The sequence below is a fragment of the Homo sapiens genome, chromosome 5, assembly GCF_000001405.40.
Source record: "Homo sapiens chromosome 5, GRCh38.p14 Primary Assembly".
In the NCBI taxonomy this organism is placed as follows: Eukaryota; Metazoa; Chordata; class Mammalia; order Primates; family Hominidae; genus Homo; species Homo sapiens.
The window spans coordinates 40,942,570-40,965,873 of NC_000005.10; the positions used below are offsets into that span (position 1 = coordinate 40,942,570).

The 23,304-nt window shown below is 38.0% G+C and overlaps 1 protein-coding gene across 1 annotated transcript in view; it reads left to right on the forward strand.

Annotated features, from left to right (window-relative positions):
• C7 (complement C7) overlaps positions 1-23,304 on the forward strand; it is a 75,147-nt gene that overhangs the window by 33,073 nt on the left and 18,770 nt on the right. Inside the window, exons 7-14 of the mRNA NM_000587.4 lie at positions 2,629-2,799; positions 5,033-5,276; positions 7,335-7,445; positions 12,818-12,984; positions 15,464-15,692; positions 16,880-17,051; positions 19,516-19,603; positions 22,172-22,304. Coding sequence (NP_000578.2) covers positions 2,629-2,799; positions 5,033-5,276; positions 7,335-7,445; positions 12,818-12,984; positions 15,464-15,692; positions 16,880-17,051; positions 19,516-19,603; positions 22,172-22,304 — 1,315 coding nt within the window. The remainder of the gene's footprint in view (positions 1-2,628; positions 2,800-5,032; positions 5,277-7,334; positions 7,446-12,817; positions 12,985-15,463; positions 15,693-16,879; positions 17,052-19,515; positions 19,604-22,171; positions 22,305-23,304) is intronic.

The window sequence follows — 23,304 nt, forward strand, 5'->3', positions numbered from 1 at the left end:
TAGAATCGAGGAATTGAATTTTGAAAAATTTTCAAAATTTTGCAGAATTTAAAAATAGGTACTGTAGAGAATGGGAGGAGGGAACTGACTAGAGAAATAAAGTATTGTTGGCTGGTTTTGAGGATTCTACTGAAGTTGAAAAGCACGAATGGATTTGTAGTGGCACCAATCCGTACAGTTGTGCGATTTTCTTTCTTTCTTTTTTTTTTTTTTTGAGACAGAGTCTTGCTATGTCACCAGGCTGGAGTGCAGTGGCGTGATCTCGGCTCCCTGCAACCTCCGCCTCCTGGGTTCAAGCGATTCTCCTGGTTCAGCCTCCCGAGTAGCTGGGATTACAGGCACGCACCACCATGCCCAGCTAATTTTTGTATTTTTAGTAGAGATGGGTTTCACCATGTTGGCCAGGATGGTCTCCATCTCCTGACCTTGTGACCCGCCCACCTTGGCCTCCCAAAGTGCTGGGATTACAGGCATAAGCCGCCACGCCCATGCCTGGCCTAGCAAGCCCTGGCTGGGTTTTTGCCAGGAAAACATGATAGCAGGTCATCTAGGCAAGGAAGTTAAATCCATTGGCAAGAGAATGATTGAAGTCATGAGCCAAGAAGCCTAAGCTGAAACAGGAAGGAAGTGAAAAAACTGAAAGTATTGATAGGGAGAAAGGGGGAGAATAAGTGGAAGAACATGTTTCTATAATGTGAAATAATAGATGTGGCAATAATAAAAATGAGAGTTAAAAGAATAAGAGATGTTAGAATATAGGATGGTTGAATTTGGGATTTCAGAGGAAGAATCAGTCTTGGAGAATCCAGGATCTAAGCTGGAAGAAGGAGGGTATTAATTAAAGAAAATTTAATAAGACCACACCACTTTGAGAAAGATGATTCCTGCAGCTATGTGTAGGTAGATAGGAGTGAGAAGATGCTGAACTAAAGCAGCTGAGAGGTTTATTTGTATTTGAATTGTGGATATAAAGACAGGCGGAAATAGGCTAATTTTTTTTTTTTTTGCATTGAAAGGGATGTGTATAACTTTTCTTTCTCCAAAGAGATAATAAACTAAATATTTTTTAAATCAATAATATATATGTGTGTATGTGTATATGTGTATATACATATATGTGTGTGTGTGTATATATATATACACACAGACATATATATATTCTCCCAGCCCAAGCTGAATTTTTGCATCTGACTTTTAAACAAACCAATTTCATAATGTGATGGAAATAATGCTCTAATAAAAGATTTGTTGAAATCCATCTTCTTATCTTTCTTATCTTTTTAGCATGCATATCTAATACTCAATGGGGGTAGTGATAACAGTCATATTGTATTTTCTGGTATTTTGGTGTATTTCTGTCTTGTATTTTTTGACTGGGCATATACTTGCATGATTGTGGTTAATAGCATCTTCACACTTATACCTGTCTTCTTATTTAATGTGACAACATGAATATTTTGCTTTCACAAGCATCATTTAGTATGACTGTGTAATATTGTCATTTTCTTTCCTTTTAGTTTTCAAAAAAGTATATCATTTCCATCAGTTCAATTTCCTCTGTTCCTTATGCTTGGATCTCAAACGCAGATGTGTATGTATATATAATAAAAACACAAATGCTTGTGAAAGGAGAGCTCCCAATTTGAATATTTATATAGAACAAACACAGTGAGAGGGAGTCTTCTTGCCTGATTTGTTTCATTCCCACAGGGACTGACATTTTTAGCAAATTAGTTGTCTATAACTTTAACAAATCAAGAGAGTTTTACATGAAGAGTCAAATTTATCCCTTGGAAAAAATCAGACAATTTGTCAATACCAGAACCTGTAGTTACATCTAGTGACTGTCTAGTGGATTTGAGTGTTGTGTGTCCCTTTTAGACAGGGTACGTGTTCACTTTTTCATCACCATGCTGTCCACTGGAGGTTTCCAACATTGACATTACTTGCCAGTTCCCTGTGGGCATTTCATTTTGACACTTGATCTAAAGCAAAATAAAGGATAAATGAATGATTGTCTCTTCAATAAAAGCTGAAGCTGTCACTTCTCATTTAGCTACATGTGACTAACCTATTGTCTACTTTAAAATTCTTTTGGGGTGACCCTTTCTTCTATCTAGCAAAGAAAAAAATGCAATTTTAGCATTTATCCAAGTGAAACAGAATTAGAAAATTAAATCCACTATTGGATCACATAGAACATTCCAAAACAAAGTCCAAAAGAGCTAATTGTTTCATATCACCTATTTGCATCTCTGTTCCTCTTTGTTAGATGAAAAATCAAGAACGAAATTCTTTCTAGTTCTCTGTCAGTGTAGCTTTTGTTAATTTGCTCGCTTCTGGGCCAAATGCTGACATTAAAGGAACATGGAAGTTGTTTGTACCTAAATGCATTTTGTGAGTCACTTGGGATTGCCATTGTTGGTACCATGTGTCCTGCTTAATAAAAAAATAATCGTAGAATGAACTCTTTCCTTATAATCATACTGGCCTGGTCTTAATGAGAGTCACAGTTGCTTTGTGCCAATGAAGAGCTTTTCTCTTTGGGAAGATTGCATGAAGAAAGTATGCATGATAAAGGATCCAGCATTAATTTAGTCATAGCAAAATTTTTCATTTTCTTTGTAGGTGAAAATAAATAATGATTTTAATTATGAATTTTACAATAGTACTTGGTCTTATGTAAAACATACGTCGACAGAACACACATCATCTAGTCGGAAGCGCTCCTTTTTTAGATCTTCATCATCTTCTTCACGCAGTTATACTTCACATACCAATGAAATCCATAAAGGAAAGGTTAGTATAAAATGTCAGTTAACTTTTCCATGTTTTACTTTTTTAAGTATTGCTTACATTAATAAACTTGTATTTATCAAAAGGATCAGCTTTCATATTAAAATTAGTAATAGTAATAGTACTTCCTTTAAGAGTCAATGCAATATCTTTCTCTAAAAGGTACAATATTGTCTCATTAAATCTCTTTGATAATATATTTATTTATACTGGCCAGGCACAGTGGTTCACGCCTATAATCCCAGCACTTTGGGAGGCCAAGGTGAGTGGATTGCTTGAGCTTGAGCTCAGGAATTTGGGACCAGCCTGGGCAACATAGCAAGACCCTGTCTCTATAAAAACACAAAAATTAGCTGAGCATGGTGGTGCATGCCTATAGTCCCAGCTACTTAGGAGGCTAAGGTGGAAGGATCACTTGAGCCTTGGAGGGAGAGGATGCAGTGAGCCAATATCATGTCACTGCACTTCAGCCTGGGCAACAGAGTGAGACCCTGTCTCAAAAAAAAATACATATATATATATATATATATATATATATATATATGTATATTTAGTTATAGTTTTAAACTTCTCATTAAAAATATTTGTTTTTATTTGAAGATGTTTACAAAGCCCTTATTACCTTGAAATCTTCTATTTTAAACGATCTTAAATTTCTTAAATTTGTGATTACTGGTGATACTATTTTAAGTGTCATATACAATTTTAAAAAATCTAATTAATGCTTATATATGCTTCTTAAATGCAAATGCTAGAGGCTTTTTAGATGGTGCATGAAGATAAAATACTTTAAAAACACTTTATTACTTTTGAGATACCAACATTTTTATCTAAGGAAGTTAAAAGACATTTTTAAATACTTCATTGTTTTGAAATACTAAAACCTTCCTCTTGAGAAATCTGAACAGTAGAGATGGATTGTACTAATTGATATACAGTTATGGCTGAATAATTTTTTTAGGCTAATTATTATTCACAATCTGCACATTTCATCACATCTTAAAGTTAGTAACTTGATTAATAAATCACTTAGGAAAATATAAGGAATATTGATTTTATTTGTTTTATGACTGAGAAACTGACTATGGAGCTATGAGTTGTAAAAACATTTATTGTCTCCACATTATATTGTTCACAAAGTGGGGATTTGGCAAAAGTAGATCTGTGATCTGTCTTGGACATCATTAAAAGATGCTTAGGAAGTGTTTAAAAGACTTCATTATAAAGTAGCTTCACCTGCAAATACCCTAGCATGGGAGATAAATCATACCTACAAGTCATTGTCAAGATGTGGACCATAGGGACACATTATTTTATATACTTATATTTATCAGTTGATAGATTAATTCTCTTTTTCTAGTTGAAGATGGCATAGCAACTTGGTCTTGGGGTTTTGGAGTTTATATAAGAAATTATCATATAATTTCTTCACCTGTAATCTCAGCACTTTGGGAGGCTGAGGCAAGCAGACCACTTGAGGTCAGGAGTTCAAGACCAGCCTGGCCAACATGATGAAACCCTACCTCTACTAAAAATACAAAAATTATCCAGGCATGGTGGTGCATGCCTGTAATCCCAGCTACTCAAGTGGCTGAGGCAGGACAAAGCTGAATTTTCCTGAATTAATCCTGAACCCTGAATTAATGCTTTGTTGATTTCATATTGAGAGAAGGGTCCTCACTATCTGTCCAGATGTGGGAGGGGATGGTGGCTTAACATAGCATTACTCAGATTTTTTTTTTTTTTTTTTTTGATATTGGGTCTCACTCTGTTACCCAGGCTGGAGTGCAGTGGTGTGATCACGGCTCACTTCAATCACTGCCTCCTGGGTTCAAGCGATTCTTCTACCTCAGCCACTTGAGTAGCTGGGATTACAGGTGTGTACCACCATGGCAGGATAATTTTTGTATTTTTAGTAGAGACAGGGTTTCATCATGTTGGCCAGGCTGGTCTCAAGTGCTCTGCCTGCCTCAGCCTCCCAAAGTGCTGGGATTATAGGAGTGAGCCACCTTGCCTGGCCATTACTCAGATATTATTACTATTTGAGACTCCAAATATTCCTGATTGCGTCCAGTAAGTGGGCCCATAAGAGTGCTCATCATGCGTCAAAAATAAAAATTCTTGTAGTCTTGGTTGATTGGAGATGAGAGCTGATGAAGGTATTGAACAGAGAACTATTTCCATTGCCTTTTTATCTTCCACCTAAAACTCCTTGTACTCTTTCTTCTTTCCACAGAGTTACCAACTGCTGGTTGTTGAGAACACTGTTGAAGTGGCTCAGTTCATTAATAACAATCCAGAATTTTTACAACTTGCTGAGCCATTCTGGAAGGAGCTTTCCCACCTCCCCTCTCTGTATGACTACAGTGCCTACCGAAGATTAATCGACCAGTACGGGACACATTATCTGCAATCTGGGTCGTTAGGAGGAGAATACAGAGTTCTATTTTATGTGGACTCAGAAAAATTAAAACAAAATGGTACAGTATTAAAAAATTCGTTGTCTAAAGGCATTTCTGGGATTTTAATGGGGAAATAACATGTAGTTAATGTAAGCTTTTGAGCTTTAAAATTTGACAAACAGAAATTTAAATTGCAAAGGAATCTAAAATTGCAAGAATGTATTATTGTCTACTTAAAATCTTATATGGTTTAAGAAAAGCCTGTCTACTGTTTTGCATAGTACCTTGAGCTAAATCATTATCATTATTGGCTATCTCTAGAGGGTATTGGCTGGGTTTTTAGAATGCTTTTTAAACTTTCCACTTTCTCAAACTAAACAGCATTTCTCAAGAAAAACTAAATGAGGAATTTAGCAATATTTCAGAAATCAAGATGTTTAAATAAGTATTTCATTTACCTTTGTTTTTTACCCTCTCATTCTTTTAAAAAAATCCTCTCTGAATATCATAAGTTTGTTTACTACTTAATACTTGTAACAATAGCTTAAATTGATGGGATACCTTCCTCATGACAAGTGAGTTACATGTATTAGTAATAATCCTTACTACTACCCAATGAGATGGGCATTATAATCTCTGCCCCACAGTGAGAAATAGAGACTCAGTGCTATTATGAGACTTATCCAAGGTCATGAAGATTGCAAGGAGGGTATTTAAGGCTGGGTCTAACTGGCCTCAAAGTCAGTTTAGCTTATTCCTTATGCTATGTCACTGCTAAAATTGCCTGATTTTGGTTAGAATCAGGACATACCCCTGAATTAATGCTTTGTTGATTTCATATTGAGAGAAGAGTCCTCACTATCTGTCTAGATATGGGCAGGGATGGTGGTGGCTTAACAACCACTCCTCCTCTTCAGAGACTAGCCTTGGCTTACTAATGTTCCAAGTCAAACCTTTTTTTTCCTAACTTTGTCTTTTAGCTGATGCCCACATTTCCCTCTCTATTCCAAATCCCCTCTTCAAGGTCTTTCTCTTCAGAAAAGATTCTGTTACAACCTTGGAGAAGAATAAGATCTCTTACATAAGATTCAGAGGAAGTCTTTTAGCTTTTTAAATGGGTAAACTATAATATTTTTTCATTTCCACTGAGCTATTTTTTTTTGAAGTTCTCTACTACATAAAATTTAACTAGAACTTGATCTTTTCAAATCTTATAGGTTAGAAATGAGTGCACAAGTACAGGTTTTTGTAGCAACGACAAGGACACTATTTCTTTGGAGAATTAATCCAGCAAGTAGTTTGGTCTAAATTCAGTTTTACTTCTTTTTATTGCACTTAAAAGAAATGGAGAGGATTAAAAAAACATTCCAAGCTGGTAAAATTAAATTTTTCAGTAAAAATTTTACTCTTGAGCAGTTTATGTTTTTCCTAAAATTTTTATTTAAATATAATCATAACCTCTGGGATATAGTGTATGCCCCAAATAATTGTTCTTTAAGAAACATTAAGGTTATTGTAATATAGTTAGTAAATGAGAAAATATATTTGCACATTTTAGTATTTTTCTATCCTACTTTCAAAAAATGCATTGGCAAAAAAAAAAAAACACAAAAAACTCCCCTTGATAATGAGTAGAAATGATCACATTCTAAGGGTATAAGTCATGGGAAGGAGATGTTGGAAGTCACAGATGTTAAAGATGGAGAGATTGAACCAGTAGAACTTGAATTTTAGGAGTTAATTCCTGTGGAAACAGAAGCCAGCTTTGGGAGCCTTAAGTAGATTTGCTGGAAGAAGCTGTCATGCTCCTACTTTTATTGATTTATCTTATGCCTAAGAAGCTGACTGTAAATGGGTGAAAGATATCACTCTTTGGGGTGTTCAATTTCTACTCCCTGCACCTTTTTATGTAGAAATCTCTTCTGCCTCCCCTCTGAAGCTGATAGAAGGAAAATAACAAAAGTCAATTTTTTCTGATCTTTGACTCTTCTAGAGCACTTGAAAATGTTCATATCATGTCACTCTTGATTAGATGGCCATAGTAGCAGCAAACAACCTCTTATCCCTACTCTCATATCTGAAGATCTTCAAGGAATGCAGAAATTAAACATGTCTCTTTTACATTTTCTCCCCTAGATTTTAATTCAGTCGAAGAAAAGAAATGTAAATCCTCAGGTTGGCATTTTGTCGTTAAATTTTCAAGTCATGGATGCAAGGAACTGGAAAACGCTTTAAAAGCTGCTTCAGGTAAATGGAAAAAGAGCAGTTTGCATTGCAAGCTTAACTTCTTTTTTTTTTACTTTTAAGTTCAAGGGTACGCGTGAAGTTATGTAGGTAAACTTGTGTCATGGGGCTTTGTTGTACAGATTATTTTGTCACCCAAGTATTAAGCCTAGTACCCACTAGTTATTTTTTCCTGATCTTCTCCCTCCTCCCACTCTCCACTCTCCAAAATGCCCCAGTGTGTGTTGCTCCTCTGTCTATTTCCATATATTCTCATCATTTAGCTCCTGCATATATGTGAAAATACTCAATGTTTAGTTTTCTTTTCTTGCTTTAGTTTGCTAAGAATAATGGCTTCCAGCTCCATCCATGTCCCTGCAAAGGACATGATCTTATTCTTTTTTTATGGCTCCATAGTATTCTATGGTGTATATGCACCACACTTTATCCAGTTTATCATTGATGGGCATTTAGGTTGATTCCGTGTCTTCGCTATTGTGAATAATTACAAGCCTAACCTCTACTCCAGTCTTCTATTGTTAATTCTTGATCTCCAAAGGCTTTTGAGGCTTTATCAGGGGTTCTGCTTTGTGTTTTAAAAAATCTATTTGGTAATTTTTGTCTCTGCTCTCTCTTTCATGTGTCAAGGTAGTGAGACATCACACAGGATAGGGAGTTCACCAGGTTATCTCCTCTGTATTATAAATATGTTATCAGTGTGCAGCACTTTTCTCCTTTATGATGATTGGCAAACAAGCCTAGACAAGTGACAATATCAAGAGACAGTTCAGTTTCACTTGCTGACATGGCTACTCCGTGGAGGTCAGGTTTTTGGTGCATGCTGGTTGGCAGTGGAGATGGGGGGAAGGTGGTATGCTAGTCTTTGGGTGATTGAAGGAGGACTGAAAGGGTAAACTGATCTAGACTGTGAGGGTACCATGTTAAGGAGTTTGGATTTCATTCTGATGGCTATTGGGTTCCATTAAAAGATTTAATACATGGAGTGATGAAATAAAAGTTTACCTAAGTAAAGTTGTAGAGAATAAAGAAGAATGGAGAAGGAAACATTTGGCAGGATTAAAAAACAAGAGATGGAAAGTAAAGGAGGAGTGAGGTCAACAGAGTGAAGATAAGGACCAAAAAATGTTCACTGGATTTGGTGATTAAGACTTAGTTGCTGCTTTTGAGAAGTGTCCGTTCATGTCTTTTGTCCATTTTTAATGGGGTTATTTATTTTTTACTTGTTAAGTTAAGTTCCTTATATATTCTGAATATTAGAGTTTTATCAGATGCATAGTTTGCAAATATTTTTTCCCATTTTGTGGGTTGTCTGTTACACATTGATAGTTTCCTTTGCTGTGCAGATGCAGGAACAGGAAACCAAATACTGCACATTCTTACTTTTAAGTGGGAGTTAAACACTGGGTACTTATGGACATAAAAATGGCAAAAATAGTCACTGGGGACTGCTAGAGAGGGGAGGAAGGGAGGAATCAAGGGTTGAAAAACTAACTATTGGGTACTTACTCTCACTACCTGGGTGTTGGGATCAATCACACTCCAAAGCTCAGTATCACATAATCCACCCAGGTAACAAACCTGAACATGTACCCCATGAATCGAGAATAAACGTTGAAGAGAAAGTTGCTTTTAAAGGAAGAGATTCCATAGTATGGTAGGGGTGTAAGTGAGACTGCAATGCATTGTGTGAGGCCATAGACTGAGCAGTATCAGAGTTTAAATCCTCTTGGGGTAATGGCAAAAGTGGACACTGACCCATGTGTCATGGTTCTCAGTGAAGAAGCAGGGATTCTTGGGATATTGGTAGATGAGTGCAAGAAGGAGGAAGATAAGTAGTAAAACCAGGTTTATGTACTCATTCACTTGCTTCATTCATCAACTATTTATGGAGTCTGTGGTATGTGCCAGGAATCGTTTTAGACACTCAAGATATAGCCGTGAATATGCCAGAGAAAGTGCTTGTCTTCGTGAAGTTGACATGTCAGAGGAGGAAAAGTTTTTGAATGAAGTGGAAAAAGAATGATCTGAACATAGAAATGGAAGTGAGAGCTTTGAGAAGATGTTGACATCAGTCTTCAGTTGGGCTGGCAGTTGGAAGCTGCTTACCAATTTTATTTTATTTCACATTTAACAAACACAGGGCACCTACTGTGTGCCAGCACAATTTTAAGTGATGTACAAAAATAAACCAGTGTAGTCCTCCTACCTATGTGTTAAGTATTATTCATATTCTCATTTTACAGACAGGGACACTGAGGCCCAGAAATGTTGCCCAAGATTATCGTTAATAAGAATTAGATATGAAATGCAAATGCATAAAATTTGGCTTAACAGTCTGGGGTCTTGACTTGCATTGGGCTGCCTTTTCTAGGGGAAAAGAGTTAGCTGGAACAGAGAGCTCACTGGGGTATGGAAAGGGAGGCTAAAGCCTTAAAAAAACATCATGATGGTAGAATCTGTAATTCTTTTTATTTATTTATTTATTTATTTATTTTTATTATACTTTAAGTTCTAGGGTACATGTGCACAACGTGCAGGTTTGTTACATATGTATACATGTGCCATGTTGGTGTGCTACACCCATTAACTCGTCATTTACATTAGGTATATCTCCTAATGCTATCCCTCCCCCCTCTCCCCACCCCACTACAGGCCCCGGTGTGTGATGTTCCCCTTCCTGTGTCCAAGTGTTCTCATTGTTCAGTTCCCACCTGTGAGTGAGAACATGCGGTGTTTGGTTTTTTGTCCTTGCGAACTGGATTAAGAAAATGTGGCACATATACACCATGAAATACTATGCAGCCATAAAAAATGATGAGCTCATGTCCTTTGTAGGGACATGGATGAAGCTGGAAACCATCATTCTTAGCAAAGAATCTGCAGTTCTTACATAGGTGTGCTGGCTAAGGCAGTGATTCTCAAACTTTAATATGCATGACGCTTACCTGGGGGATTCTCTTAAAATGCTGATTCCAAAGGTTACTCATTCTCTCAGATATTCTCCTGTAGGTCTTGGTGGGGACTAAGAAATCTGCAGTTCCCTCAGATGATTGTGATTCAGTAATACAGGGATGGGACGTGATTCACTGCATTAAAAAGTGTTACTGTATATATTGAAAACACAGCTAACAATGAAGACGAGGAAGCATCAGGTGATTTGTTAAAACTATTAAGATTTACAGTCACAGAAAGTCAAATATTGCATGTTCTCATATGTGAGGGTTAAAAAAATTGATCTCATGGAGATAGAATAGAATGATAATTATCAGAAGCTGGGGAGGAGGAGGGGTCAATGAAGAGAGATTGCTTAATGGGTATAAACCTGTAGTTAGGTAAAAGGAATAAATTCGACTAGGCGTGGTGGCTCAGGCCTGTAATCCCAGCACTTTGGCAGGCTGAGGTGGGTGGATCATGAGGTTAAGAGATCGAGACCATTCTGGCCAACAAGGTGAAACCCTGTCTCTACTATAAATACAAAAATTAGCTGGGTGTGGTGGCGCACGCCTGTAGTCCCAGCTACTTGGGAGGCTGAGGCAGGAGAATTGCTTGAACCTGAGAGGCAGAGGTTGCAGTGAGCTGAGATAGTGCCACTGCACTGCAGCCTAGCAACAGAGCAAGACTCTGTCTCAAAAAAAAAAAAAAAAAAGGAATAAATTCTAGTGTTTGATAGCACAGTCAGGTGGCTATAGTTAACAATAATTTATTGTATATTTTAAAATAGCTAGAAGACAAGATTTGAAATGTTCCCAACACAAACAAATGGTAAGGTGATGGATATCCTAAATATCCTGATTTGATCATTACACATTCTATGCATGTATCAAAATATCACATGCACCCCATAAACATGTACCATTATTGTGTATAAATAAAAAATAAAAAAACAAAAAAAGAACCTGTCAGGCTTTAATGATTTCTGAATATGAGTACAATATGCTTATTTTATGAAATTGCAAAATTTGGACAGTTACAAGGAAATGAAAACCACTCAAAATCCGATCTGCAAGGTTGGAAATTTCTTGTCATGACCATTACAAATGGAGATAAAGTATTTCTAAAATTATGAGGCACATAAATGGAAAAGAAGCTTCCATTAGCATTTCACACTTTTCAGAACACTTTTCATGCGTTAAGTAATAGATTCCTGTTAATTAACAGCTTATTTTATTCATTGTTAGTATACCAGATGCAATAAACTGTTTTCCTTCCAATATTTTATTATGAAAATTTTAAAACATATAGACAAGAATGTTGTAATAAATACCCATATACCCATTTCCTATATACAATTAGTATTTTGTAATTTCACTACATATATGTACATATAATATTGATAATATTGACTGATTCTTTGAAATATATATTATGTATTTAAAGTGTTTATAATATTTGCTGAACTATTTGGAAGTAAGTTTCAGATATCATAATACTTCATCACTAAATATATGCATGTAACATCTAAGAAGAACATTCTCTTGCATAATGTGATACTCACACTAAAAATATAAAGAACATGAACAATAATTCCCTAATATCATCTGCTCTCAGGCAAGAGTTGTTTTTCTTTTTTAAAAAATATACCTTAGTTTTGGCTAGGTGCAGTGGTTCACACCTGTAATCCCAACACTTTGGGAGGCTGAGGCAGGCAGATGACTTGAGGCCAGGAGTTCGAGACCAGTCTGGCCAACATGGTGAAACCCCATCTCTACTAAAAATACAAAAATTAGCCAGGTGTGGTGGCGTACACCTGTAGTCCCAGCTACTCAGGAGGCTGAGGCATGAGAATTGCTTGAACCTGGGGGGCAGAGTTTGCATTGAGTATGCCACTGCACTCCAGCCTGGGCTACAGAGTGAGAATACTGTCTCAAAAAAAAAAAAAAAAAAAAAAAAAAAAGAAAACCACCAAAAATAAAATAAATATAGCTTAGTTTTTAGAACAGTTTTAGGTTCACAGCACAATTGAGTGCAAAATACAGAGAGTTCCTGTATATCCCCTGCTCCCACACAGGCAAAGCCTTCCCCACTATCAACATCTCCTAACAGAGTGGAACATTTGTTACAATGGATGAACCTACATTGACACATTGTCATCCAAAGTCCATAATTTACATTAGGGTTCACTCTTGATATTGAACATTTAATGACTTTTGACAAATGTATAACGACATGTGCCCACCATTGTAGTATTATACAGAACAGTGTCACTGCCCTAAATATCCTTTGTGCTCTGCCTATTCATCCCTCCCTTCTTTCTGACCACAATTTATCTTTTGACTGTTTCCATAGTTTGGCTTTTTCCAGGATGTCATACAATTTGATAGTTTTTTTAAATACTTGATAGACTTTTCACTTTTCATTTGCTTTCTTCTGTATAGGAACCCAGAACAATGTATTGCGAGGAGAACCGTTCATCAGAGGGGGAGGTGCAGGCTTCATATCTGGCCTTAGTTACCTAGAGCTGGACAATCCTGCTGGAAACAAAAGGCGATATTCTGCCTGGGCAGAATCTGTGACTAATCTTCCTCAAGTCATAAAACAAAAGGTATGTCAGGCTTTGTTTAAAGCAATAGGAAGCAGTCATGTTTATTTGCATGAGGAAAACGAAGGTGGTTAAATCAAGATGGTTAAACAGACATGGCTGTAATTAGCATTTTCCGTATCCCAATTATATTTTGTAGAGTAAAATGAATGCACACATAATAATAAGAAACAGAAGGTGTGTTATACTCATATTTTAGTTGCAAATGTTAAATGTCTTGCAATTTCCAAGATAAATTAATGACAAAATTTGCATTTTTAACTTTTGATCTAAGTTCGATTATGTCTTCCTTGGTCCCTAATTCAGAGGAGTTATAAATTCTAGCAAGGGGAAGGCATGAAGTTTTGCCTTCTGTTATGTTCCTATCACCTTTCTTTGTGTGGCCATGGCTTGTGGGCTCCTGAAGTCATACAAAGTAGGATAGTAACAAGTTGGCTGGCAGAATTTTAACATGTTTTATTGTTATCATCAATTCTTTTATAATGCAACAAATGTGTTTCTAAAAATCATTGAGCTATGCAAAATTGCACAATAAAGGGCTTAAGGAAAAAAAATCAGGTTAGAGACACAGCACTCAAATTTTCATCTGTCACACTCATATGAAAAAGACAGGTGCCAATAAAAATACTTGCATGGTTTTATACATGTTAAATTATTAAAAATGTATCTATACTACAATAAGTGTGGTGCATTACCTAGAAAAAGACCTGAAGCTTTCTGGGTTTTGGAAGGTTTACGGCTTGTGAGTTACTGTGAAGTGCTAGAAGGACGCCAGTCAGAAACCCGACAGACATTTGTAACAGCAGACATGAACAGTATAGTTTATAATGCAGGAAATGAACTGACATAGATGTTGAGGGGTGTGTGAGTGTGTGTGTGTGTCAACGCACATGCGTATGCATGAGTTTTGTATATTCCTATGTGGCTTGTTTCCACTGTGTGAAGCATTTTGTGTTCACCCTGTGTTTCATGTGGACATAGTTGTACATAAGAAAATCTCAAATCTGTGCTATACTCAAAATTTTCAGTATATCAATCTCAATGGAACAAATTCCCCTTATCAAAACAAACATTATAGCAGAACCGATTCTATGATTTATTCCCTGCATGAAAGTCAATGTTCCAGGCAAAGCCTGATTTTCAGAGATACATTTCATAAACTCAAAAATTGCAATAGGTCCTCAAGTCCCCTCCTAACACCCATAAATTGCCCATTGGCTTCCAAATATGGGTGAGGGAGGGAGGGTGAAATTTTCCTAGAAAGTCTTATCTTAAAGGACCATCTGTTAATATTCAAAATGGCCTGTATTCATTGTCAGCATCCCATACAAATCTTTAGAAACTCTTGATTACATTAAATTATTGATTAGAGAAAGACACATGTTCTTTAACAGTCTCCATGTACTTTTCCACATAGGACTATAAATTATCATATTTGTGCTACCTTTTTAGCAGGGCAAAAAAGGAACAGAGAAAGAAAAGGCACTATGCAGGTACAGGTACATGACTATGCAAAGCCATCGTGTTCGCAACAGCTTGGGCTCTCAGGAACCAATGGTGCATATCTCTTCCCAGTTCAGGCATCATGGTGGCAGCCTGAAATTGGCTATGGTGAGAGCAGTTACACTGCAGAAACTGGCAAATGCTACAAAGCAGAGACATTTCTGTTCCTGGGAGAGCAGACTGTTAAAACTGAGTCAGCACATCTGTGATTTCAAGGTTGCTTTTCTTCTGAAATAGCCAACGCAGAGTAATAATGTTTACCTGTTTTAAATTTCTCCATGAGGAAAGAATCCATGATTTCCACTAAGAGATATGTTAAATCTCTCAGTCAGGAAATTTAATTCTAAATTTAATTTCACTTGCTTCTTTGCTGTAACTAGAAAATGAATGTCCTATTTTATTTTATTTTATTTTATTTTGAGATGGAGTTTCACTCTTGTTGCCCAGGCTGGAGTGCAATGGCATCATCTTGGCTCAGCGCAACCTCCACCTCCCAGGTTCAAGTGATTCTCCTGCCTCAACATCCTAAGTAGCTGGGATTACAGACATGCGCCACCACACCCTGCTAATTTTGTATTTTTAGTAGAGACGGGGTTTCTCCATGTTGGTCAGGCTGGTCTTGAACTCCTGACCTCAGGTGATCCCCCCTGCCGCAGCCTCTCAAAGTGCTGGCGTTACAGGCGTGAGTCATCGCGCCTGGGCTGGTTTTTTTTTGTTTTTTTTTTTTTTAAATCTTACGCATGCACAGAAGATATATAAAAAATTCCTCCCCCATGTGACCCTAATTTTCCCTAAGTTTGTCTTGATTTTGTTGCAAAGAGAGTGCACTGTTTTCCTTTGTATTTGCATAAGAAACAATTGTAACAAACTTGCCCGTGGCTTTTGATTTTGTTTTAATGAGAGTCGTGCCTAAACATGAAAAGCAAAATATTCTTGCCTAAATCCCTGATTACTGACTATAATGTCTTTATCTCTATAGCTGACACCTTTATATGAGCTGGTAAAGGAAGTACCTTGTGCCTCTGTGAAAAAACTATACCTGAAATGGGCTCTTGAAGAGTATCTGGATGAATTTGACCCCTGTCATTGCCGGCCTTGTCAAAATGGTGGTTTGGCTACTGTTGAGGGGACCCATTGTCTGTGCCATTGCAAACCGTACACATTTGGTGCGGCGTGTGAGCAAGGAGTCCTCGTAGGGAATCAAGCAGGTCAGTGGGGTGAATTTTCTCTAGCCACCCTGTACACATTGAAAGGGAATTACCCTGTTTCTCTGCTCCTTGAGATGCTTCTTTGTGTATGAAGAGATGAAGTCTCAAATGAATTTAGAATCCTCCTTCCCTTTCCTACTTCCAGATTATAGCTACTGTGGTTAAGGCTCTTTGCTGTTATCTCTATTTATCCATCTGAAGTAACAGCCCCACTGTGCCCTCCACTTCCCATTCTCTATTAGAATAGAGTTATGATTAAAACACCTTCATCCTCTGTAATTACCTCAATAAGGTTTTGCTGTAGCAAAGGTCTGTGGAGCTTGTATATTTGCATTGCCTAATCTTTCTGATGGCATGCTCTTTGAAACATTTCTATTTCTATTCTGTGTGATGTACTATCAATCACTCACAAATATTTGTTGAACATCTGCTGTGTGCTCTACGGTGTATATGGTGCTTCAAGCACTTAGTACAGGGCTATGTGAAATTGACTTTATGAGTAGTCAAAGTATGACTACAATCTATATACTTTTGTTTCTATATTTATGTACATGTCTGTCTCTTCTAGAACGCTCATTACTTAAGGTCAGGGCTGTTTGATTCCTTTCTTTATTCCCAGAGCTTGACAAAAGGCTTGATTCATAGAAGTCACTAAATGAACGATAAATGAATAAATATAAGACTAAACTATAGAGGCTTATATACAAGCATTACAAAGGCATCCTTATCCCTAAATGTCTCTCCAAGTGGCCTGTTCTGGTAATTAAAATTCTACGACTGTGATTCATTCCTTTGTGGCTTGGATTTCCCCTTATCTGTTAAAATGGAAGCACACTCTCCTGCTGTCTAATTAAATAGAATGGTAACATTTCCTGCCCACCTCCATTCACTGTTGTGAGAAGTAAATAAATGATACAACGTACGTAAAAGTGCTTTGAAACAGTTGTAAAATAATCAACAAATTAAGGATATTATTGCAAGAGGTTCACTAATGCAACCTTAATATGGACATTCCTAGTCTGTATGTAGAGCCATTCTGAACATTGTAGAAAACCTCAATGAAGAGTGAAGGTAATCAATATCCAGAATGATCTCTTCCTCCAATTAACTTGTTAGCAGGAAGCATAGCACTAAGTTCCCAAGCCCTCTTTAAGAACTTATTGATCAACCTCTTTCTCATCTTGTAGGAGGGGTTGATGGAGGTTGGAGTTGCTGGTCCTCTTGGAGCCCCTGTGTCCAAGGGAAGAAAACAAGAAGCCGTGAATGCAATAACCCACCTCCCAGTGGGGGTGGGAGATCCTGCGTTGGAGAAACGACAGAAAGCACACAATGCGAAGATGAGGAGCTGGAGCACTTGAGGTAATGGAGACCCGACCCCCTGGCAGTTGCATAGAACACAGTACCCTCTGCAGTTAGCATGGAACACATGATTGCTGCTGTCGAGAGATTTAGAAGTTAAATGGCTATTTTTACCAGGGACTGCTTTGTCCCTTAGCACTAGGGTGAGTTGAAGGAGCTTGCTCTGTGTGCTTCAGGTTTTCCTGAAACAAGTGTTACAAAAGGCTGGGTAACTGGGAGTAGTCCTGCTGAGTGGATACGATCATTCTCATTCGTTTTGGCCACCTACTTGCTGTGTGACCTTGGGCAAGTTACTGGCCACATCTCTAAAATTAGCATGATAATAGCAGGTAAACTGATACTAAGATTATCTGTTTATTGTTACTGTCAGAATTAAATGAGATTAAGCACCCAAAGTGATTACTAAGCATTCATTAAAGTTTGTATTACTTTTCAGATACACCATTCTTACTCATTTATTTTTTGGATTAAGCATAGAGCCAGTTGCTTGAGATGGAGAATATCTTGGTGGGTAAACCCAGTAGCCTGGCACTAAACTTCCCATTTGTCAGGACCCTGCAAAAGCCATCTCAAAAATGCTCAGTTGATGAATCATAGCCCTGGGTCAGAATTCTTTATGCCACACCCTACTGTTTTACATTGTCCTTAGTAATTTTTGCTGACTGGACTTGGCAAAATATTCTAGTAAGATAATTTGAAGGTCATGTGAGTTGAAGAAAGAGATGAGGTGCTTGGGTATCTGGTAGAAGCGTAGGGTGAATAAAGAAAAAAGAATAAGTTGGGAAGCCTTATTCCTAAATCTTTGGTGCCTTGTAATCTGGCATTAATCAGTATCTCTTGACTGAGGAAGCTGGCAAGCATGTGAACTATGGTGGGAAGAGGATGCTGGCTGCTGTGCACATGTTTCTGGGAGGATGAGGGTCTGGGAGGAGATCTCTGAGAGGATGCATTTTTCCTGCTTTTTGACATAAAGCTAGGAGGAGAGGTACATCCTAAGAAAGTCATTGAAGAGATTTTTCACTCTTGGTGCTCAGGGGAGGGGAAGTATCATCTTTCTCAGTACAAATAGGAAAATTAAACTTGCCACAGTTTCCTCAAAGTATGGCAAGATTATAAGGAACTCAGATGAGAAGGAGGCCACACTCCCAGGCTATTTGTACTGCTTTCTCTCAGATTTTGTGTCTCTAGAGTGGAGATAATATTAGTGTTATTTTGACCTTAGAGGCAGTCTTGAAAACCATTGTTTAATGACAGATGTCATCATTATCATTATCTTTATTACAGGCTCCCCCAAGAGATAGTCATAGTGATGGTAAAGTGTCAGGATTGGCACTTGTGGGATGATATTAGGACTTCTGTTCTCCCATCTTCCTTTTAGGCTTAAGATTCTTACTCCAAGCCTTACTTAAACTTGCTTTCACCAAATAATGTGCTTTCAGTTATACACGTTCAGAAAAAAATGTAGACACTAAGACTTCGTATTTCTCTATTGCCTTGTGAGAGGTAGAAGGTGCACAATTGTAGGAGCCTAATTGACTATACGTAAATCCAGCTTTGGTATTTATTAGTTCATAATCTTGGACAAGTTATTTGAACTTTCTGTGCCATTGTTTTTTCCATGTATCTCATGGTGTTGCTGTATGAATTGAGATAATGCATATATGCAGAGCAACTGCCATGGTGCCTGACACATAGTAAATGCTTAGTAAAAGGTAGTTATAATTTTGTGTTACCTCTCTTTTGGGGTCACTAACTCTAATTACCTTCTTCTTTTTTTTTTTTGAGATGGGGTCTCACTCTGTCACCCAGGCAGGAGTACAGTGGTGGGATCTCAGCTCACTGCAATCTCCGCCTCCCAAGCTCAGGAGATTCTCCTGCCTCAGCCTCCTAAGTGGCTGGGATTACAGATGTGCACCACTGTGCCCAGCTAATTTTTGTAGTTTTAGTAGAGATGGGGTTTCACCTTGTTGGCCAGGCTGGTCTCGGAACTCCTGACCTCAGGCTATCTGCCTGCCCTGTCCTCCCAAAGTGCTGGGATTACAGGCGTGAGCTGTCGCATCTCGTCCAATACCTTATTTTCAATACAGAATTAATTCTGTATTAAATGAATTTCAGAACCAAACGGCAAGAGGAAAAATAGGTTTTGAAACAGGTGACCTCTAGAAAGCAGACAGTAGTATGTTGGCCAAAGACTTTCTTTTTCTTTTCATTCTTTCTGTTTGTTTTTCATACTACTGACCTAGCAGCTATTTAAATCACTGTCTTTTGTTAGCTTGAGTTTATGTTTGAGTTTTCTACCACAGGATGTAAGCAGATATTTGGTTCTAAGAATGATAAAAATATTACACCAATGTACTTAAATGAATGGAGTTCCTTCAGATACAAAGGAGAAATCCAACGTAATGCAAAATAATTATTATACTGTGCAAATCAATCACATTAATTACATTTTTTTTCCTTCCAGGTTGCTTGAACCACATTGCTTTCCTTTGTCTTTGGTTCCAACAGAATTCTGTCCATCACCTCCTGCCTTGAAAGATGGATTTGTTCAAGTTGGTTATGAAAGATATTTTTTTCCTTTATAATGCTCTAACTTCTATCTCTCTGCTGAGCCCATAACCTATTTTCTTCCTCCATGGTGAAGCCGTGCCAAAAATATTTTATATATGCATTTTAGTTTTAGTGGTGAGGGTTTTAGTGTGTGACTTTTTTTCTTTGGCCCAAGGTGATGTGAATTCTGCAGAAGGCAGTGTATCTTCTATGGTGTGGGAAATCAACACTGCCACCCAGTGAATCAAAAATGTAATCATGCCAGAGGGCTACTGAACACTGCCACCCTAAACACCAAACTGCGAATCTACAAGCTTGCTCTTTAACTCACAGAGCTTCTCTTATTTTTGCCACTGACTTTTTTTTTTCCCCCTCATAACTGTAGGCCCTGGGATGAAGTATTAGGTTTATTCCAGGAGTCAATAAGACAGTTAGCTAGAGTCTAGTGAGATATGGATCATTCTACTTTGAGCAATTGAACCTTCCTGTTCAGGAAAGAAGAGTAGTCATCTGCCATTTGTCATTCTAGGGACTTTTGTTGTTCTTGGCTTTTGGGACATTTTCGTTAATGCTGCTCTCAGTCTTTATGACGAGGCTTTGGCCTGAAGCCCCAGTGGTGCCTCTTCATGGCTCACACAGGATATTGTTCATGAGGACTCTCTCCATGTTACCAGCACTGCTTTCCTCACAAGGGATTTTGCTTTTCAAACCCCAGGCCCTTGAACATGCATTCACTGAAAATTTACTGTTTCCCCAAATGTAGGCACTATTGGGAGATGAAAGTTGTGTGTTCACGCAAGTGTGTGTGTGTGTTTGTGTAGAGAGAGAGAGAGAAAATCAACCTAGCATCTCTACCACCCATTCTGTCCTACCACAGCCACCGTAATTCATGGAGTTCCTGAATGGAACATATGCTCAGAGAATAGGCCAAGCAAACTCATGCATGTTAGCAAACCATGAGGCTGCTGTCCCCAACTGCAGTGTGTGTGGTGTTGTTTTAGGAGCCAGGAGTCCCAAATATTGCTCTGTGGACTGGCTGCATCCGAATGACTCAGGGAACTTAAAACTAGAGATGGCTCTTTCTCACTTGTCCTCCACGTTTTCTGATTTGATAGTTTGGGAGTACAGCCTAAGAGTCTATTTTGTAATTTCTACAAGTGATTATGATATACAGCCGCATTTGTGCACTGTTGAATCAGACTTCCTCATATGAAAGTTTTTGTTTTGTTTTGTTTTTGCAAGGTGGAGGAAGGAATAGGATCATGAGTCGAAACAGAACATGTGCTCCTCCCCATTTCCCTCAAACCTCAGCATCAGCCTGGCCCATTCTGTTTTCTACTAACTTCCATGATAGAGCCAGAGTGGGCCAGGAAGCACATACTGACAATGGGAAGGAGATATCAGGAAATCTTGTTCTAATCCCTAGAGCAGAGCTGGTCAAGGCCTGAGCTCCAAGCCCTCTCCCAGGCTTGAGTTTTTCACCATCCCCTTGGGTGGAAGACAATGAGAAGGGTAAGGAAAGAGAGACCCTAAATGAGTGTGATTACCCTTCATCCATCCCCAGGCTCAGACTTCAAATTCCACCTTGCTTCGCCATGAAAGCTCGCTTCCTGCCATTATAGGTTAGTGAAACGTTCTTGAATCTGACCCAGCCCCAGCAGCATTCCATACATATAGTGTGGAGTAGGAGGGTAGGATGGGAGAAGATCAACATTATGCTTCCCCTAAAAGTTATCAGCAAGAAACTTAAACTTTCATGAACATACTAATAGGATTGGAAAATTTCTGGGTGTTCATACTGACATTTTGTAGGCAGTATGGCAGTATTGTCAATGAACAGCTCATAATACTTTTTTTTTTTTTTTTTTTTTTTTTTTTTTTAGAGAGAGAGAGACAGAGTCTTGCTCTGTCACACAGGCTGGCATGCAGTGGCACTATCTCGCCTCACTGCAACCTCCGTCCCCCAGGTTCAGGTGATTCTCATGTCTCAGCCTCCTGAGTAGCTGGGACTACAGGCATGCACCACCATGCCCTGCTAATTTTTGTATTTTTATTAGATACAGGGTTTCACTATGTTGGCCAGGCTGGTCTCGAACTCCTGATCTCAGGTGATCCACCTGCCTTGGCCTCCCAAAGGGCTAGAATTACAGGCATGAGACACCATGCCCGGCCTGGTAATACCTTAATATGAAGAGTTGACTGACAAAGATGTTCTCCAAATCTAATAAAGAACTGATTTTTCCTAAAAGTTAAAGGAAAAGAAATTATTTGGACAGTGTCCAAATAATTTTAATAGAATGTAATTTTAGTAGAATGCTTAGTATAGTCCTTGGTATTTTGGGAGCAATCAATACATTATAGACAGTGGTATTAATAGTTTTATTTCAATTAATGGTGGTGCTAGTGTTACTAACTATATAGGGGAAAATGTTTTTATAGACACTTTTCTGAATCAATTAAATGTAGCTTGCCTGATGATTATGATTTATAGACTGAATATATGTAAAGAAACGTTTTGTTAATGCAAAATAGACAAACTCTTTCCTTTTCCATCTTTTACTTTTGTTTAGGATGAAGGTACAATGTTTCCTGTGGGGAAAAATGTAGTGTACACTTGCAATGAAGGATACTCTCTTATTGGAAACCCAGTGGCCAGATGTGGAGAAGATTTACGGTGGCTTGTTGGGGAAATGCATTGTCAGAGTGAGTGGCGTCAGTTGTATATAATTTAAGATGAGAAAATTACGTGGAAGAGAATGAATCAAGATAAATAACACTCACCATATGGCCCATGTGTTGGCCTTCCTTTCCTGTAAGGCTGACATGATCCTGTTCAAGTTTTAGGAGCGACTTGAATAAGCCCTCCGCCTTCTCTAGTTGGTAATGTTCCCATTCAGTGAGGTCAATTTCATTGCAATTTAAAACTTTCTGGTGCAAATTAAAGTAGGCCAGGGAATTCTCTTTAGATGAAGACCATTAGGATATTCTTTAGAGTTCAGTTACTCAGGATGTACCACAATCAATCAACTTTCTTAAATGCTTTGCCTCCTGTTCTGTTTGGATAGAGGCATCTGAATAACAGCATCTGCATGCTGCACCACCCTAAAACTACTCTGGCTTCCATCTCTCTTGCAATATAAGTTTGTTCAGCAAATGAATAGGCCGAGCTGCAGTGATACATTTTTCCTAAATCAGTTGCTCTGTGCTATATGAGGAAAGCGCTAGTGTACACACACACACATACATATATTTCTCCCTTTGGGAATATACCTATTGTGAAATTTCTGAGTAATTGGGTATTCATACATTGGGTATACATACATTTAGATTTAGTGGAGGCTGCCAGCCTTCCAAGTGGTTGTACTGATTTACATCTCTAGCATAATCTGATAAATCAAGCTTGCTTTTGTCCTTACTAACACTTGATAGCATCAGACACAGTGGTGAGTGTATAGTGATATATATATATATATATATATTTTTTTTTTGGAGACAGAGTCTCACTCTTTTGCCAAGGCTGGAGTGCAGTGGTGCCATCTTGGCTCACTGCAACCTCCACATCCCAGGTTCATGTGATTCTTGTGCCTCAGCCTCTTGAATAGATGGGACTACAGGTGTGTGCCAACACACTCTGCTAATTTTTTGTATTTTTAGTAGAGACAGGGTTTCACTATGTTGGCCAGGCTGGTCTCGAAGTCCTGAA